The 20515-nt window shown below is 41.8% G+C and overlaps 1 protein-coding gene and 1 long non-coding RNA gene across 3 annotated transcripts in view, besides 2 other annotated features; one reads left to right on the plus strand and one right to left on the minus strand.

The window, feature by feature from the left end:
• Nucleotides 1–9918, minus strand: part of STARD13 (StAR related lipid transfer domain containing 13) — a 573658-nt gene extending 563740 nt beyond the window's left edge. For both annotated transcript variants that reach the window (XM_017020835.3, NM_001243476.3), the window contains exon 1: nucleotides 9802–9918. The gene's annotated coding sequence lies outside the window, so the exon portion shown is untranslated. The remainder of the gene's footprint in view (nucleotides 1–9801) is intronic.
• Nucleotides 12357–12546: an enhancer, noted in NCBI's record as "active region_7584". NCBI's record gives its function as "activates an Ori minimal core promoter by ATAC-STARR-seq in GM12878 lymphoblastoid cells {active_cell/tissue: GM12878}" and the evidence as "EXISTENCE:reporter gene assay evidence [ECO:0000049][PMID:35858748]".
• Nucleotides 12557–12616: an enhancer, noted in NCBI's record as "active region_7585". NCBI's record gives its function as "activates an Ori minimal core promoter by ATAC-STARR-seq in GM12878 lymphoblastoid cells {active_cell/tissue: GM12878}" and the evidence as "EXISTENCE:reporter gene assay evidence [ECO:0000049][PMID:35858748]".
• LOC107984551 (uncharacterized) lies at nucleotides 12674–20296 on the plus strand. The gene is made up of 2 exons (XR_001749964.2): nucleotides 12674–12730; nucleotides 19991–20296. It is a non-coding gene; the product is annotated as an uncharacterized LOC107984551 (long non-coding RNA).
• Nucleotides 20297–20515: the final 219 nt, after the last annotated feature.

Consider the following 20515-nt stretch of genomic DNA (forward strand, 5'->3'; position numbering starts at 1 on the left):
CCCCAAACCCAGCCTAAAATGTATTATTAACCACATATATTTAAAAAGTGGATGGATGAATAGATGGATAAATTTTAGGTCCCAAACTTTGGGACAAATGCTGTGAAGACAGAATTTACTTCCGTTAACCACAAATAACCCAAGAATGTTCACCAAACATCATGTAGACTGAATAGATGCTTCCATTATATATAACTTAGCACTTTTTAAAATGTATTATTAACCACATATATTTTCCTCTCTGACCACATTGTTCATTCTTGCCATTTCTGTTATCTCTGTTTAAGAAGCTTCTGAAAGATATGATGATAAGTGCAGACAACAGCGATGATATGGAAAGGAGAGTTTGACTATGGAAATGTTATTGAGGGACAAACAGCATTATCTTGAGAATCTCAAGCTTTACCCTCCATGGTAGGGATGCTGCTGTACCTGTTGGAAGAGAATAGAATGCCTATGTGGTTTTTATCTCTTTGTGGGAATAGAATGTCTATATGATTTTTATCTGGTTTTTCAGAAAAATGTTCAAAAATATCTACTTTGCTCTCTCAGAACTCATGTACTCATTTTACTTTAAATTTACTTTCATTTTCTAGTTCATATAGATGCACATGTAGGCAATTAAGCAAGTAGTTTTAGGTGCATTTGTGTGTATGTGTGAATGTGTCCATTTATCTTCTCAACTATTGCATCTCTTCACTTCTAAGACACCATCCTCTGTGAGATGCACCATTAGATAATGTATCATTAAGAAAGAAAAACAACACTGTCAATTAAACTACCACTTGCTATCAGTTGTAAAATGCATCTCAATTTCAGAGATGTAAAAATGTGAAAAGATCCTGAATACTCTTCATTGGTAACAATGTTTTTCATGTGGTCTGTTACAAAAACATCCCTTTCAATGGATGCTGAAGAGTCATGTTAAATGAGCATTAGCCTAAAGCTGCCTCCTTACATATCTTAAGTTCAGCCTAAAGGTTCCTCTGTACATCATGAACCATAACATGTGAAGGTGTAAACAGACACGGGCCATAGCCTACACTTGTGCCTGTCACTGAGTTTTGGCCAATCAAATGTAGCCAACTGTTTGAACCCTGTTCAAATAAGGAGACACTGAGCTATAAACAATCCGGTTGTTTCTGTCCTTCACTTCCATTTTCTTTACATCACTTTCCTTTTTCTGTCCATAGATTTTCTTCCACCATGTGGCTGCGCTGGAGTCTCTGAGCCTACTCTCGTTCAAGAGGCTGCCCAATTCGGGGATCATTCATTGCTCAATGAAACTGTTCTAAATTTAATTCGGCTGAAGTTTTTCTTTTATCAGTTGTTGAACTGAAACACTTTGCACCTACCTAATTGTTTCAAATATCTATTAAAAAATGGCAAATATCTGTTCAAAAATGGACCTCTAGGAAAAATCGAACTGCTAAAACCAAGTCCTAGGTCTTTTATTAGACATGCAAACTTGAATATTTGAATAAATGAAATGATGATGTCTTAGTTTCACTTCACCAGCAACCTGGTGGTGGGCATTGTGGGAGAGTATGGGTGAGGGTGGCTATGAGTTGACAATTGGTCAAACTGGATTGCTAGGACAGGGGGGCTTATGATAGTATTCACTTAAAATTCCAAGAAAAGAAGAGTTTCTGCCTGTATAGTAGTGACAGAACAGGAATAGGACTGTGCTCCCATGTGCCCAAGAGGTAGTCTCTATGCCCAAGGTAGTAGATTACAGATGGAGACTAAAGAGAACGTGTTTCCTGGAACCCTGAGTGAGAAGATGAGTGAAAGATGATGCTCACCGCTAGTTCTTCACCTTCCTTCTGAAGGCCCTATTTTGTTAAAGCTGACTGGGTCCTACCTTTTGTTACAGGGATGGTTGGCTAGTCCTCATAATTGCATCTAGCCCTGAAGATCACATGCTATTTTACATTGGTGTTTGCTCAGCTTCAGGGAGTGAAGAAAGCTGGCATAGAGGCTAACTAAAAACAGCAAAAATAGCAATTAAAATTTTCATTGAATGGTCCAGCTGTGCTAAGTAGTTTACCACATATTGTTTTATTTAATTGTCTTAACAACCCTGACAGGTAATACTAATATTACCTCTACTTTTACCCATGGGAAAATGGACAGAGAAAAGTTAAATGCATTTCCCAAAACTGGCAAGTGGCAGGTCCTGGATCACAATGTAAACTTGTGCTCTAAGTCACAGCCATGTATTGCCTTATTTTCTGTTGCACCAAGTTAAGAGCAATGGAAAGCACATCCTACTGAGAATGGCTTGCAGAATAGGACTAAAGACTCAGCCTTCAGCCTATAATCCGCAGAAGCAGATGGGTGTAAAGGAACACAGACACAGGAAATGACCCTCATAGAAACAAATAAAAAAGGAATGCAGAAACCTCTACTAAGTAGATAAATGTAGTTCTGTCCAGGACAGACAGAAGAGGCCGGCTTCTCTGATTTTCATCCCCTCCTGAGTCTTTAAACCTTATCAGAGTATGCTCATGCTTTCTCCAGCCTCTCATGCCTGGGTTCACTGGTGTGTGGCACACCATCGCCAGTGGTCCTTTGGGACTTCCACCGCTTGCTCACCTCCATCTGGAATCTTACCCATGCTCACTAACTGCTATGATAAGAAGAGGATGTTCTTTTTTTTTTTTTTTTTTTTTTTGAGACAGAATCTCACTCTGTCACCCAGACTGGAGTGCAGTGGTGTGATCTCAGCTCACTGCAACCTCTGCCGCCTGGGTTCAAGCAATTCTCCTGCCTCAGCCTCCCGAGTAGCTGGGATTACAGGCACCTGCCACCGCACCCGGCTAACTTTTGTATTTTTAATAGAGACTGGGTTTCATCATTTTGGCTAGGCTGATCTTGAACTCCTGACCTCGTGATCCACCCACTTTGGCCTCCCAAAGTGCTGGGATTACAGGCGTGAGCCACCACACCCGGCCAGAAGAGGATGTTCTTCTTATCCTACTCTTGTATGTCCCTTAAGAGCCCTATCTGTCCAAATGTACTTTGTTACAAAATCTAATCATTATTCTTTACACTTGTGCAGATTTGAAGATTGTTCCTGCCCTGGTAGGCCAACTACTACCACCTTCTCCATATTTACCCACAAATGCCTGAGTAACATTTAAATAAATAGAACTTTTGGAGTGGGAAGTGTTGGAATCACCTTCTGGATTGGCTGATCATTTGGGCTGCAGGATCCTGAGGGTAGCTCAAGGATTACATATGTATTCACAAGCAAGGAAAGCCACAGGGGGATGAGACTACGATACAGGCTGTGACTTGCACAGGGCTTGGCATATAGTATGCCAAGTATCTTATATTCTTCCTCTGTGTTTCTAATAATGTCACCAAATATCACATTGAACTTCAGTGGGACATTTTGAAAATCCTTCATGGTATCATTGCAGACAAGATTAAGAATATGGGCAGCGCTAATGCAACTAGGCAGATTAATAACTCATTGAACGAACATAATTGGAGAATGTCACCAAAGATCGCGTTGCATTTTTTTGTCTATAACATATGGAATTTACTATCAACTAAAATCCTAAAGTCTTATTTCACAAGTACAAATTCTTCCAATGAGGGCTTGTGCACTTATGATTATGAACCAAAATAAATAATCTTATATTTGTCACAGTTACTTAGGTCTAGGTAGCTTGAGCTCATTATTCCAACCTGTTAAGATCTGTTTTTGTTTTGATGCTGTCGTCACATAAGTGCATTCTTCCTTTTGGCGTTATATTCAGAAATTTACTAAACGTGCATTTATCCAAGACACTGATAGAAATGCTTATCAGGACAGGACCAAGAACAAGGTTTTTAGTAAGTCACCAGACATCCCCTCCCCCGAGTTGCTTATAAGCACCCTCTACGTAAGTTCATTCAACTAGTTATTAATCTGCCTCATTGCATTAGCTAGGCCCATATTTCTTCATCTTGTCTCCCATGATACCATGAAGGATTTACAAAAATGCCCCACTGAAGTTCAAGTGTATTTTGTCTATTGCATTTCCTTGAACTATTGTTTCCCGTTAATTTGCCCAAATTCAATTTGCCTAAAAGCAATTTGACAAAAAGCAATTTGGTTAAAAAGATAATTTCTTCAAAACTATGGTCTAGTTAAAAGGGAATAATGCTGATAGGTATTTTTTCAAAGTTGGTCTGAATTGCCACCCATTTTGCACCCTATGTATTTTGTGCGTGTATTGCTTTTCCTCAATAGTTTGATTTTTTATTTCTAATTATTTTCCAGCTGGTTATTCCTATTAGGCATTGCTTATAATGTAGAATAATTGAAACAATCTAACTGTTCAGCAATTAATTAAAATAATGCAAATGTCCAACAGTTGATGGATTGCTTTAAATTTATGATAGTTTCCAATTACCATATGGTAGTTAAAAGACCATATGTCTTCCAATATGGAAGCCTACCATGCACTAATGTGCAATCATTGGCTAGCCCTTCTTGAATAGGATTATGTTTAAAATTGGTTTTCTGGTTTGCATTCATTATTTCCCAGTAAAATGCATATGTTATTTTAAAATCCTAAAATAGGATGGTCGTGATCACACCTGTAATCCCAACACTGAGAGGCTGAGGCAGGAGGAACAGTTGAGTCAGGAGTTCAAGACCGGCCTGGGCAACATAGCATGGCCTCCTGTCTACAAAAAATACAAAAATTAACTTGGTGTGGTGGTGCATACTTTTATTCCCAGCTACTTTGGAGGCTGAGGCAAGATGATCCCTTGAATCTAGGAATTTCAGGTTATAGTGGGCTATGACTGGGCCACTGCTCTTCAGCCTGGGAAACAGAGCAAGACCCTGTCTCTAAATAAATAAATAAATACAATTAAATAATTAAATAAATAAATACAATTAAATTTAATAATGAATGAAAAGCCTAAAATAATACATAAGTCACAATTATAGTCACAATTATAGTTCAACCACTCTATCAATTTCAAATAATTTGCTTCTATTATTAAATCCTTAGCTTGTCCCTTTTACACTGTTGGTGGGAGTGTAAATTAGTTCAACCATTGTGGAAGACAGTGTGGCAATTCTTCAAAGATCTAGAACCAGAAATACCATTTGACCCAGCAATCCCATTACTGGGTATATACCCAAAGGATTATAAATCATTCTACTATAAAGACACATGCACATGTATGTTTATTGCAGCACTGTTCACAATATCAAAGACTTGGAACCAACCCAAATGCCCATCAATGATAGACTGGATAAAGAAAATGTGGCACATATACCATGGAATACTATGCAGCCATAAAAAAGAATGGGTTCATGTCCTTTGCAGGGACATGGATGTGGCTAGAAACCAACATTCTCAGCAAACTAACACAGGAACAGAAAACCAAACACCACATGTTCTCACTCATAAGTGGGAGCTGAACAATGAGAACACATGGACACAGGGAAGGGAACATCACACACTGGGGCCTGTCACAGGGTGGGGACAAGGGGAGGGAGAGCATTAGGACAAACACCTAATGCATGCAGGGCTTAAAACCTAGATAATGGGTTGACAGGTGCAGCAAACCACCATGGCACATGTATTCCTATGTAACAAACCTGCACGTTCTGCACATGTATCCCAGAACTTAAAATAAAATAAATAACTAAATAAAATTTAAAAAATCCTTAGCTTATCCTCTAAGCAATTCCTTAGTTGTTCAAACTTTTCACAATACAAAGTAATTACTTGAAGATGAATTCATTATACATAATGACAAAAATAAGAGTTCTGAAAACTGTTAAACAATATTTAAAGATACAGTGTTATAAAGCTGTCCCATGTTTGATCACCCATACTTGAATATATAATGATGGGAAATAATTATTTGCAACCAATTTATCACGTTGACCAATTTGCTTTGATGAAATTACTTTCGACTAAATAACATGCTATCCATCTACAGGCTAGTAACACAAGAACAAAACAATATAACTATATTGATTATTTCCATTTTAGTGAATCTGTTCTGAATGCTAGGATCCATTGGCATCTCTTTTGGATGTCTTACAAGCCATTCCTTTAATAATCTATTTTAGAATATTGCCAATTTAAGGCAATTTAAGCATATGCATAAGTTCCTTTTAGAGTGGTTCAAAGACCCCAGTGGGGGACAACCTCCTGCTTGAGCTAAGCACTGACAAATGAAGCTAGGATGCTATCCACGCATTTTATTCCAAGTGTTTTGTGCTGATTGATTCTCAAGGAAATGGCTTGACTTCTCCATCCTCTGGCATCTCTACAGAATCAATTCAAGAATATCACGTGTTTAATATTCTTATGTTCTTATTTTCTTACTCCATCCTTAGAGGTTTCCCAATATTATTTCCCTTTGACCTATTTTACTATTATTTAAAAATCAGTGTGATTCTAGGGCTGTGAGTACTGCTTGGCTCTGCTCATGGCCTACATTTGTGGCCATCTGAGAGGGCAGGTGCATAAGAGTTGCAAAACTCCTAGAAATTCCCAATAAACTCTTTGTGAGTCCTCTAAGTGTTGACACCAGGCATATAGGTAGTAAGTTACACCTTACATGATTTTGCCATATTAGATAAGACAGAATATATACATTAGTTTTTTTTCTTGTCTATAGATGGAAGCAGTCAGAACTATTAACTCTTTTTTTTTTTGAGACAGAGTCTCACTCTGTCACCATGCTGGAGTGCAGTGGCACAATCTTGGCTCACTGCAACCTCCACCTCCCTGGTTCAAGCAATTCTCCTGCCTCAGCCTCCTGATTAGCTGGAACTACAGGCACACACCACCACACCCAGCTAATTTTTGTATTTTTAGTAGAGACAGGGTTTTGCCATGTTAGCCAGGATGGTCATCTCCTGTCCTGTGATCTGCCTGCCTTGGCCTCCCAAAGTCCTGGAATTACAGGTGTGAGCCACTGAGCTAGGCCCAGAATTATTAACTCTTTTACTCTTTTTTTTTTTCTTTTTTTCTGAGGAAGAGTCGCTCTGTCTCCCAGGCTGGAGTGCAGTGGTGCGATCTCGGCTCATGGCAACCTCCACCTCCTGGGTTCAAGCAGTTCTCCTGCCTCAGCCTCCCGAGTAGCTGGAATTACAGGCATGCACCACATGCCCAGCTAAATTTTGTATTTTTAGTAGAGACAGGGTTTCACCATGTTGGCCAGGCTGGTCTCCAACTCCTGACCTCAGATGATCTGCCCACCTTGGCCTCCCAGAGTGCTAGGATTACAGGCGTGAGCCACCGCACCAGGCCAGAATTATTATCTTTAAATATCATATTCCTCACTGTCTTAGGGTTTAAAATACAACGGTCTAATTGCATCTCTTCATGTTTGTTCATGAAGAGTTGCATTCCCACCTAATCTTAGTGAAAATTTCTACAATGAAATATTCTTCAAATGGGACATGAAATCATAATAGTTAATTTCAGCTATTTCTTCAGCCTTTCATTCATTCAATAAAAAATGAAAAGTAAAACTAAGAAAAATAAAGAAAACTATTAGCTCTACAGACAAATGACATATTCTTTAAATGTGAGCTCTGTAATGGTGTGGTTTCATCAGGATTTGGTTCTTAGCATAGACCAATGAATAGGAATAGCAGTAAGACCAATGAAGAGGAATAATCTTATTCCTCGAGTTTATAATTCCAGTGCATTTCTCTACCTTTTGGGGACTGTCCCCCAGGCATTCCTATGCTGAGAAATCAGGGTCTGAGTGCAGCCACGAGGGAAAGACCCCAGACTGTCAAAGATGAAAACCACCAGAACCTGAGTGAATCTTTCAATAAAGAAAGTGTCATCTTTAGTAAAAGAAACAGAGAAATCTTGAAATTTTTTTCTGGTGATTTTTTTTCTAAATTGACACAGTAACATATTTTTGTTTCCCCCCTATTATTCCTTTTCATTTTATTAAAACAAGAAAAGAAATTGCCGAGAATGGCTCTGATGTCGTGTCTGGTTAATGAAACTAACACATTACTTAAATATTTATCCTCACATACATAGTATTTGGATGCAGATGTGGAGAAATGTTGTCAAGTTAAAAATAACTCTTTCAGTAAGGCAATGGCACACTGGAATGCTAATCCAAGCCCACTGCTATTCTTCACACCTACATCCTGGGTGTCCTGGCTGCATGAAGTAAACAGCCCAGCTTCCCTTCCTTAGGAACCTTCACCTTTCGGCTAGAGCCATTTTTAAAATGTGTGCCAAGATTAGCAAGAAACAGAGTGACAGGAGAAAGAGAAAAATCCTCAGAGAGCCACTCTCAGTTCCAGAGACCCCCACAATGTTTATGGCATGCCTGTTGGGGAAATTTTCTTCCCTCCAGGACAAAGGTAGCTTCAACATTCTAATCCTTAGAGTGAATGAGCACCTACCCTAATCTGTGCGCAGCTAATCAGTCATGTGGTTCAAAGCATAAAGCCATGAGAATACCTAAAGTCAGGTGAAGCAGCTTAGTTCTGGAAAGGAAAATGTCTGGAGGAGAGAGTTTTCAGGCCAAGACTCCACTACTGCTGCACCCTCAGATTTTAGGTAGGATGTCCTTTGGGGTTCACCTACTCAATATGTAGGTAGGAGAGAACCTGTGTCATGGGAATATGCCCTGGGGACTTACATGGAAATATAAGCCCCTATCAAGGATGAGAAAGGATATGGAGCAAGAATATGGTTTGCTTTTTGTGGAGGGAGATATGGATGCAGATTGGTGCTCTCTGTGAAAAGGGTACAGTGAGGGTTTGGAGATCTCAGGGGAAGTAACAATTAACTTAGTCCCTGTATATCTGATAAAGGCAAAGGAGGAGAGTAGGAACATGTGGACAAAGATTTAAGAAAATAGATGCAGTTTGATTATCATCTACGTCTTCTCTTTTAAGTTCTCTAGGGCACAAAAAGAAGACTCAACATCTTATTTTCCCCAGTGAGAGAGAAATATTATACAGTGATGCCCTCTTAGGAACAGATCAATGAGCTAGCTAAAAGCATCGAGTATTCTACCTCTGGAGGCAGATCAGACTTGAACAAAAATATTAAAAGTTCCTGTACATTTCTACAGGAAGATCGGATTTTGTTAACAACATTAGACAAATAATTGCCTTCTATATTGTTGAACTTGTTCTACCTCCTTTTATGTCTGATAAATCCTTGGCTCCTAGTCTGTACTATAATTACTTTCAACTTTCCAATTTAATTTGCCGCAATCACAGGAAACTGGACTGTACACACTAACACCTGATCCCAACAGATTTTTCACATCTTACAGAGCAGTGCCAATGAAGTTGTAGCGGCGGAGTTTAATCCCCTCCCATGCCTAAGCAAGCAGGAAGCGACATTCAGGATAAAGTCCTGCGGATCGGGACTGCCATTTGGTTACAGTTGCACTGGTGTTTTCTCTCTATGGGATTGGACCTGCACCCAGACCCCCTTTCAACTGGCAAGGATAATTTGATCCCATTTTTAAGCATACTGATTTACAGAGAGCAGAGAGAAAACCCAGTCTATTCTGGACACTTCCACACATGTGTAAAAGTACAACAAATCTACATGACCGTTTCATTATGGAAGACATTTTATTTTTTAAACAGTGGTGAGTTTTTTCCTTTTAAGTCAGAGCTGTGCGTGCACGTTTGACAGTGAGCTGTTATTCCTAAAGGCAGGAGGTTAGGCAGCATGTTAGAGTTTCATATTAAACAACAAAGAGTTTTAAGGAGCGTCCTCAAATTACACTCACAGTTTCAAAGTTCAAGAATTGTGGCTGAGCACTCCTTACCTTACAATTTCGGGTCCAAAGAGGTCTTTAAGTTTAAAGCAGTACATCAAATGTGCAGGATTTATTTTCTTGCATGAAAGTCTCATCTGTCATAGCACTCCACTCCCCGAGAAGAGCCCAGCCTCCTCTTCCTGAACACCAATGAGGAAACCAGAAGAGCACATGGGGGACGTGGCTTCCCTGAAAGCCTGTCAGAGTCTGCACATGCTCTTTGTGACAGAGGTGCCAAATTAACCTTGGCATGAGGCTCACAATGCACCTCATTGTGAGGTCCTGGGCACCTCTTAGGGGAAGAAAAAGGTTATAAAATGTTCGAGCCAATTGAAAGTTTTCACACTTTTGCTGAGATGTGCCTCTTATTCATTAAAAATAAAAGAGACAATTTTTTTTTCCTGTTAATTAGCTTCCTGAGGTACAAGTAAGACGGCACCAACATGTTAAGATAAGAGAGAAGGCTATCTTTTGGAATTCTACTACTGTTTCAGGCTAGTGAGAGGGAGTAATTTATAAAGCTTCATCTCACCACCTAGAAAAGTGCCTATTCTGTAAGAGCTGACAGGAAGTTTTATTGGAATGAAGTTCATGATTATCAGTGTACAATGTAAAATAATGTTTGCTAACCATGTTCCACCAGGACCAAGGGTAAAATGAAAATCTACTGCATCTGGGTTATAAAATCAATCTGTGATATTGACATAATATTTCAAGTGGACTCTCCCCATCAAGGTAACTAGAAGTCATTGTGAGGAGGAAGTCCACACCTTCTTACAGGACACAGACATACAATGACCAGGAAAACATCTGCCTGTTGCTTTCTCACCTGTGTATTTATCTACCGATTACAATGTGACACAGAAAAGGGATATTGGGTAGAAAAAATATATAGCCAAGTCAAAATAATTAAACTTCTTAAAATCAAAATGTTAAGACTTAAGTCCTGATTACTGTTTGCATAGAGCTTGATGCTGTTCATTCTATCCTCCTTGCTGGGACAGGAGCCTGAAGCAGTTCACCATGGTGAGCAGTTGGTCATAGATGTGAAGAAGAGAGAAAGATAGCACCTGGAAGTAGAAAGTGCTGCAGAGACCCGTGTTTGTTCGAGATCTGGTTTTGGTTGTACAAATAATAAACTCTCAGCCCAGGGAACTCTTAGGGTATTTCTGGGTCTCAGTCAGTTTCTTTCCTTTTCTTTTCTTTTTTTTTTTTTTTTTTTTTTTGAGACCGAGTCTGTCGCCCAGGCTGGAGTGCAGTGGCGCAATCGAGACTCACTGCAACCTCTGCCACCTGGGTTCAAGGAATTCTCCTGCCTCGGCCTCCCGAGTAGCTGGGATTACAGGCGCAGGCCGCCATGCCCGGCTAATTTTTTTGTGTTTTAGTAGAGACGGGGTTTCACCGTGTTGCCCAGGCTGGTCTTGAACTCCTGAGCTCAGGCAATCAGCCCTCCGTGACCTCCCAAAGTGCTAGGATTATAGGCGTGAGCCACTGCTCCCAGCCCTGGGTCTCAGTTGCTTTTTCTGTCGAGTGAGGGAATTGAACTAGTTTAGGGATGGAAAATTGATTACCTGCAAGGGCTCGGAGTGCAGAGTGCACTTCCCTGGGTGGGCGCTAAGGGGAGATGGAGACCGTGTGCTCATGTATCCAAGCATGGCTGTCACTCGGTGATAGCTGATTCGCAGTTGGAATGGGGGCTGCATTATGTCCCATTGTCTGCTGTTTTAGAAGAAGCTAGACTTTCAGATTTTTATGTGAAATCTCCTAGATTTCATACGTGGGTAACTTACTCAAAATATTTGAAAACATTGTGAATGCCAAATGAAATCTATCTGCCTGTCAAATTTGTCCTGCTGCCCATCATTTTTTGACTTTTGGACTACATTATTTTGAGTTTCATCCTGGTGGAAAATAATCCTAGGAGATTAGTCTCTAAAAGAAACTGTCTCAAGCTTGTAGTCCCAGCACTTTGGGAGGTTGAGGTAGGCAGATCACTTGAGGCCAGGAGTTTGAGAGCAGCCTGGCCAACATGGTGAAACCCCATCTCTACTAAAAATAAAAAAAAATTAGGTGGGTATGGTGGTGTACGCCTGTAATCCCAGCTACTCAGGAGACTGAGGCATGAGAATCGCTTGAGCCGGAGAGGCAGAGGTTGCAGTGAGCTGAGACTGTGCCACTGCACTCCAGCCTGGGTGGCAGAGCAAGACTCTCAAAAAAAGAAACTGTCTTTTGGGATATTAAAAGGCCAAGGTAGGACTTCATGAAGAAGCTGTACCCAATACTTTTGTAGTGAAATTGAGCACTCTTGTTTCTCTTCTTCATGGTGATGACCTCATGACTGATGACCTCATGTGGAAGGGGTGACCTTCCTTGGAAGGGGTGGTGTGGAACCCATGGTATCATTAACATTCTAAAATCTGATAAATGAAAAAAAGGCATGAGAAAGGCCCACTGGGGAGAAAAGGAAATATTTGTTTGAGTAATAGGAAAACTACTGCAATGCTGCTACCTTATCTCAAGACTCAGCCATCGAAAGTAAAAGCAAAAGGTACAACAGGGCTATGATAAGGAGCTGCATTTGGGAACCGAGGGGAAGAAAGGTTTATTGACTTGCTGAATACAGGAGAGATATCCCGGCAGGGGTGGAGATCTATGCAAAACAAGGTGACTACATGAGTCTCTTCTACGTCAAAGTGCAAAAGTAAAATTAGAAAAACTGTGGTTTGAAAAGTCTGACTAGTGCAATTCTTCCTGAGCCATTGCATGAGCTTCCGCTGGGCGGGAAATCCCATGTTGTGAGTGGGGGATTCACCCTTGTTGAGTGAACAGAGTGCTGACTCACTGAGAACCCGGGCCAGAGACCTGCAAACAATGCTCAATTAATATTTGCCCTGGCCGGTGAACCCAGCAGAGGCTGTGCACGGAAGCCCAGAGCACGGTAGGCCTGGCCTCAGATCTCTCACAACGTGGCTTCAATCTGAATCTTTTCATGCCAGGAAATTTCCCTTGGCCTCTCACAGTGCCTTTCTCTCATAGAGTACCCTTTATTTCTTATTTTGCTCCATCTTACTACAATATTTCAACTGCATTTTGATTTCTTATCACTTGTCTGTCTACCTCACTAAACTGTAAATTGCTTCAGGTATTCTGAAATTCTCTCTCTCATTTATTTCTAGCACAGTCCATGCTTGGCACATGTAAAGAACTTATGAAATGTTGGTTGGATAAATTAGTAAACAGCCAGAAAGCTAATAACTGAGAGAGGTACAATGTCCGTTATATATGGAGTGAAATTAATGTGTTAAGGCTAGCTTTTGGGAAAAAAAATTAGATTTAGATATAGTGCTTTTTCCTATGAGGATTATGTTTTCTCAAAGGTATAGTTAATTTTTTTTTAATTGTATACTATTGTGGATTTTTAGTTTGTACAGTGCTCACTGTAACTTTCCCCATTGCAGTATTTACTAACCTTGCTCCCCACTGCAATATTTACTGACCATGCCATGATCTGAGCTATCTAGGCATTCTTACTTATGTTTCCTATGGCCATCTGTGGGGATGTTTTGGCCAATAATTAGCATACAGCTGAGAGTTAACATAAATTGGCCACCTTCACATCTCATGTTGCTCTCCCAAGTGCAACAGAGGGAGTGAAGGGAATCCGTTTAGCTACGAACAGTTACGTGGCAACCCGTGACCGCGGCAGCACACACTGCTGGGAAGGCTTTGGGGGCCCAAAAACAAGAGTGGATAGAAATCACTGGAGACAGCCACCACCACAAATTTTAAAATAAAATTTAAAAATAAAAATAAGCGGCCGGGCGCGGTGGCTCACGCCTGTAATCCCAGCACTCTGGGAGGCCAAAGTGGGCAGATCACGAGGTCAGGAGATCAAGACCATCCCGACTAACAAGGTGAAACCCCTTCTCTACTAAAAAAAACACAAAAAATTAGCTGGGCATGGTGGCGGGCGCTTGTAGTCCCAGCTACTCGGGAAGCTGAGGCAAGAGAATGGCGTGAACCCGGGAGGCGGAGCTTGCAGTGAGCCGAGATCGTGCCACTGCACTCCAGCCTGGGCAACAGAGCAAGACTCCGTCTCAAAAAATAAAATAAATAAAAATAAGCAAGTTTTCTTTTGAATTACATTTACTTCAACCACAAAATTTTATAACTACTTGAGAAATTAGCAAATACAGGGAAATAAAGAAATGAAGGAAAAGCAGTGCAGATGATTGTTTCTGTTATCCATTGGTGAATAGTAAACTAGCCCAAATTTTAGTAGCTTAAAGCGTCTGTCTTATTATCTCAGCAGTTCTTTAGGTTGACTGGGCCCAAGTGAATGATTCTCCTGCTCCATGTACTATTTGCTAACATTGTAGGCAACTGGGGACTGATGCACTGGAACATTCAAGAAGGTTCCCTGGCATGTCCTCGCCTTGGCAGGGATGGCAGGAAAATGGGCTCAACTGGGCTCAGCTGGGATACTAAGACAAATAGGCCTCTCTTTCTCTTTCTGTGGCCTTAGGGTCTCTCCCTCTCCTCCTCCCTTTCCCTCTCACTCTCTGTCTCCATATGGCCTCTCTGTCATAATAGCCAGACTTCTCACACGGCAGATCAAGTTTCTCCAAAGTACTAAAGAAATTGCCAGATCATCTTGAGGCTTAGGCCTGGAATTGTCACAACATAACTTCTGCTACTTTCTGTTGGTGAAAGTGGTCCCAAAGCTATCCCAGATTCAAGGTGGAAGGGGACTACTCAGTATGGGAGGTGTGGGGCATTGGGGCCGGTTTTGGGGGAGAGCTATCCCAGCTGTGTTCTCATCATCACAATGTTGCCATTTCACCATCTCCTTTGTTGAGAAAGAACAGATGTTGCAGTTATTCTTTTTTACTCTTCAATGGGCAATGTGTGGTGATCTATTTGATTCTGTTCTCTATTTTGATTTCTTTTTCGTATATGGACGGGAATTGTAAAAAATGTCTTCTACATTAGAAAGTCTAAAAGACAGGCTTAAAAAATGGGCCATCTGGTAGTTTCTTAAAAAGCTAAATACAATCTTACCATACGAGCCAGCAATCATTGTCCTTGGTATTTACCCAAATGAATTGAAAACTTACAGGCACACAAATATTTATAGTAGCTTTATTCACAGTTGCCAAAACTTGGAAGCAACCAATATGTCCATCAGTAGGTGAACAGATAAATAAACTATGGTCCATCTATACAATGGAATATTATTCAGCTATAAAAAGAAACTGAGAGGTGACAACGTGCTAGCAGCCCTCGCTCGCCCTGGGCGCCTCCTCGGCTTCAGCGTCCACTCTGGCCATCTCTGGCCATTGTCGACGAGCCCTTCAGCCCGCCACTGCACTGTGGGGGCCCCTCTCTGGGCTGGCGGAGGCCGCAGCCGGCTCCCTCTGCTTGCCGGGAGGTGTGGAGGGAGAGGCACGGGCGGGAACTGGGGCTGCGCCAGCGATCGCAGTCCAGTGTGAGTTCCGGGTGGGCACGGGCTCCGCGCCCGGAACTCAGAGCGCCCGCTGGTGCCGCACCAGGCAGTGAAGGGCTTAGCACCTGGGCCAGCAGCTGCGGAGGGTACACCAGGTCCCCCAGCACTGCCAGCTCGCCACATTGCACTCGAATTCTGGCAGGGCCTCAGCCGCCTCCCCCCAGGCAGGGATGGGGACGTGCAGCCCGCCATGCCCGAGCCCCCCCTTCCCACATCTTCCCCCGTGGGCTCCGGCAAGGCCCGAGCCTCCCCAATGGACACGCCCCCTGCTCCGGGGAGCCCAGTTCCCATTGACCACCTACGGGCTGAGGAGTGCGGGCATGCGGTGCCAGACGAGGCCCCGGTGTGGGATCCACTAGGCAAGCCAGCTGGGCTCCTGAGTCAGGTAAGGACTTGGAGAACTTTTGTGTCTAGCTAAAGGATTGTAAAGGCACTAATCAGCACTCTGTGTCTAGCTCAAGGTTTGTAAAGGCACCAATCAGTGCTATGTGTCTAGGTACTCTAGTGGAGACTTGGAGAACTTTTGTGTCTAGCTAAAGGATTGTAAATGCACCAATCAGCACTCTGTGTCTAGCTCAAGGTTTGTAAACACACCAATCAGCACCCTGTCAAAATGGACCAATCAACTCTCTGTAAAATGGGCCAATCAGCTCTCTGTAAAGTGGATCAATCAGCACTCTGTAAAATGGACCAATCAGCAGGATGTGGGTGGGGTCAGATAAGGGAATAAACGGAGGCTGCCCCAGCCAGCACTGGTGGGCCACTTGAGTACCCTTCCGCGTTGTGGAAGGTTTGTTCTTTTGCTTCCTGGTAAATCTTGCTGTTGCTCCGTCGTTGGGTCCATGCTGCCTTTATGAGCTGTAACACTCACCGCGAAGGTCTGCAGTTTTACTCCTGAAGTCAGCGAAACCACGGACCCACCAGAAGAAAGAAACTCTGGACACATCTGAACATCTGAAGGAATAAAACTCCGGACCTGCCGCCTTTAAGTACTGTAACACTCACAGGGAGGGGCCACGGCTTCGCTCTTGAAGTCAGCGAGACCAAGAGCCCACCAATTCTGGACACAAAATGAGCTGTCAAGCTATGAAAAGATGTGGAGGAAACTTCAATGCATATTGCTGAGTGAAAGAAGCAAGTCTGAAAAGGCTACAATAAATATGATTCCATCTATATGACATTCTAGAAAAGGCAAAACTGTAGCTACAGTAAAAAATATTAATGGTTGCCAGGGGTTCAGTGGGAGAGAGGGAGGGGTGAATAGGTGACGCACAGAGATTTTTAGGGAGGTGGAACTATTCTGTGTGACACTGTGATAGTGGATGCATGTCATTATGCCTGTGTCAAAACCCAGAGAGTGCACAGCTCAAAGAACAACCTTATTGCAAACTATGGACTTTTGTTAGTAATAATGTTTTGGCACTGGTTCATCAGTTGTGACAAACGTAGCGCAGCAGTGCAAGATGTTAATGGAAAACCTGGGGTGGGGAGGGGAGAAGGTGAGGGAGGTGGGTATATGGAACTGCGCTTTCTGCTCCACGGTTTTGGAAACTTAAAACTACTCTAAAAATAAATTATCTTAATGTTTTTAAACAATGGATTCAAGAGAAAATGTTGGAATACTGTTCTTCGTGAATTTACTGTTTTCTTGGAAGATTTCATATAGATTGCTTTTGTTTTTAAAAAAATCAAATCAGTACTGGGCATGGTGGCCGACGCCTGTAATCCTAGCACTTTGGGAAGCCAAGGAGGGCAGATTGTTTGAGCTCAGGAGTTCGAGACCAGCCTGGGCAACATGGTGAATCCCTGTCTCTACTGAAAATACAAAAAATCAGCCAGGCTTGGTGGTGCACACCTATACTCCTAGCTACTTGGGGGGCTGAGGCAGGAGGATTGCTTGAGCCAATGAGGTGGAGGCTACAGTGAGCCAAGATCACACAGCTGCACTCCAGCCTGGGTGACAGAGTGAGACCTTGTCTTTAAAAAAAAATCAGCTGGGCGCGGTGGCTCATGCCTGTAATCCCAGCACTTTGGGAGGCTGAGGCGGGCGGATCGTGAGGTCAGGAGATGGAGACCATCCTGGCTAACACGGTGAAACCCTGTCTCTACTAAAAAATATAAAAATTACCGGGCATGGTGACAGGCACCTGTAGTCCCAGCTACTTGGGAGAATAAGGCAGGAGAATGGCGTGAACCTGGGAGGTGGAGCTTGCAGTGAGCCGAGATCATGCTGCTGCACTCCAGCCTGGGCGACAGAGCAAGACTCTGTCTCAAAAAAAAAAAAAAAAAAAAAAAAAATCATACTTTATTAAAGAAACTTGCTATTTAGAAAAAATTTATGGTGAATCTCTTTGTGATTAAAACCATTACCTGTTGACATTTCATCAGTGAATCTTTTTATTGATCAGATTTATATAAAGAAGCACACCACTGCATATTAGGGCAAAAATCTCCAGTCATATTTTGAGTCCAATTTAGAAAAGTAGTTATTTGCTATCAATTGAAGAATGCTATTCAGGATGGGTATGTAAGGTTTTGAGACCTGTCTGACTTTTGCTTTCTTCCAAAAAAAAATAAAAAATCTTTTTTAAAATGCAGAGTATACATTAAAAGGTGATTGGCAACCTTTTTTTTTTTTGTCTTATAAATTGGCAGTAAGAACCGCCCCTCACCCCGCCCTCCTGCCCCCAAGAAACAATATTGAGGCAGGAGAATAGGATCTGGAGGCAGGGAACATAAGGCCGATTCACACTGACTTCCTAGAACTAAATCGAATGGAAACACTTCAGCTATGACAGGAAATATCCTCACCATTTACATAGGGCGTACACCAAGTAAATGACTTTGTAAATTTACTTCATCCTCCTCATTTACATAGGAATGCCTATGTAAATGTATTCATTTACATAGGCATTCCTAAGTATGTATTCATTTACATAGGCTTCCCAAAGTGCTAGGATTACAGGCGTCAGCCACCATGCTCAGTCCTGATTTGATTTTTTAAAAGGCAAAAGCAATTTATATGAAATCTTCCAATTACATCCTCTTCATTTACATATACCAACTAATCCATGGAAACCTCCAGAGGGTATTTAAACCCCAGAAAATTCTGTAACGGGGCTCTTGAGCCCCTATGCTCGGCCCATTCCCACCCTGGGGGGTGTACTTTCATTTTCAATAAATCTCTGCTTGTATTGCTTCATTCTTTCCTTGTTCTGTTTATCCGTTTTGTCCAATTCTTTGTTCAAGTTGTGAAGAACCTGGACACCCTCCACCAGTAACAATATGACCAATTAGTTAAACTGTTTAAGGAGGAACTCCTCCCCCTCCCCCACCACTGCCCCTTCCACAACCTTCCCCTGTTCTCCTGGAATCTCTTCCCCATGGTGCCCAGTGCCTCAAGTTGTTCCTTGATCACTTAAGGCCTCTGCTGAATAACAGTGCATTTGGGTTTTCTGTTGACTTAACTTCGAGCCTTAGAACATACCTGCCATGCACCTATCCCATTTTGGTCCTGCTTAGGGCTGTGAAATCTCTCCTTTTCCATCACAATTCCTCCATTTTTCTGAAATAGCTTAGTTACTTGAAGAGGATGAAGGGGGTGGTGGTTGTATCTGGGTCTCCCCAAATTTCAGGTAGTATGTTCTACATGACCCCAAAGAATCCATATTTCCAGTATAATTGAAAATGGCGCTGCTTGGTATTGGGATGGATTGGTAGTAAACAAACACACACAATCAAGACCTACCATGCATGATACTTTTTAAATTTATGTTTTAAAGTGATGATTCCCAAACTTGGGTGGAGTGTGTGCATTGAGGGATGGGTCAGCAGAAAGAGGGTGGGGAAGATGGATGGGCAGTGGGTCATTATCACCTCAGAAGCATTCCTAAAATAAACATGTCTGGGGTCTATCTGTAACTGCCTAAATCTATTGTTTGGGTAGGGGAGGATAGGAAGGAGGAAAATAAGGGAGATGCATTTTGACAAGAGCTTTCTAGTTAATAGGATTCTGATACGTTCTCCAGTTGAGTTTAGAGTTCCAAAAGAGATAAAAGAATAAAACTCACTTTAAAAACTTTTAAAAATTATAAAGCAAAAATAAGCAGAACGGAAACAGAAACAGGTATATATGAAAAATAAGTAATTAGAAATTCTTGAAACACATTTAAAAAGGTCATAACTCTAACTGAGATCTAGTTAAAAAGAGAATTAGTAAATTCTTGAAATGAGAATAGAATTGGAAGATAAGCAATATTTCAAGGGAAAACAGCTGAGAATTTTTAATAATTGAACAGAAACATTGGTTCTTTTATTGAAACTGTGTAAAGTGCCTAGCAGAATAAATAAGAATAAACTCATGCTCAACATAAAATCTTGAGCTCACATCTGGATTCGTCCACCTTCTAACTATGTCACCTTCTTTAAGTTACTGTATTAATCCATTTAAGCTTCTATTTCTTCATTATTGAGGGATAGTCATAATGATACCTGCCTGTAGCAATTTTTTAAAAGGAACATACATTTGTTGACACTCCTCCCAATAAAAGGTGAAGTCTATCTTCCCTAACCTTGAACCTGGGCAGGCTTGTGATTGCTTTAGCCAACCACGTATGGTAGCAGCAATGCTCTGTCTCGAGGCTAGCTCATAAAAGGTCTTTCAGCTTCTGTCTTCTGTCTCTTACTCTCCAGATGTCTTGTTAGAATGCTACCTCCTGGACCCAGCTGCCAGGCTCTGAGAAGCTCAAGTCACATGGGGAGGCCACGTGTAGGTGACCTGGTCAACAGTCTCAGCCAAAGCCAACTCTCAAGTAGTCCCCTGTGGGTGCCAGACATGTAGATCAAGAAGCTTCTGGTTGATTTCAACTGCCAGCTGCTTGCATCACCCCCAGCTGAGGTCCCAGATGTGGTGAAAAAGCAGCCACCCTCCCTGTGCTGGTTGGAATTCCCTACTCAGAGAATTCATGTGCCTAATAAAATGGTTTTTGTTTAAGGCCACCACGTTTGGAGTTGTTTGTTATGAAGCAGTAGACGGTCAGATACCTGGAATACTACTTTGAGAGCTGTTGTGCGGGTTAAATGACACAATGTATTATCTACCTGGCTCACAATTGCATTAAGAAATACTGGTTTCAAGGTGCATGCAAGACATTCAGGTAGATGTCTTAAATTGTAGCAGCAGCAGTAGCAGCCATAGCCACTAACATTCCTGAGCAC

The sequence above is a fragment of the Homo sapiens genome, chromosome 13 (genome assembly GCF_000001405.40).
Source record: "Homo sapiens chromosome 13, GRCh38.p14 Primary Assembly".
In the NCBI taxonomy this organism is placed as follows: domain Eukaryota; kingdom Metazoa; phylum Chordata; class Mammalia; order Primates; family Hominidae; genus Homo; species Homo sapiens.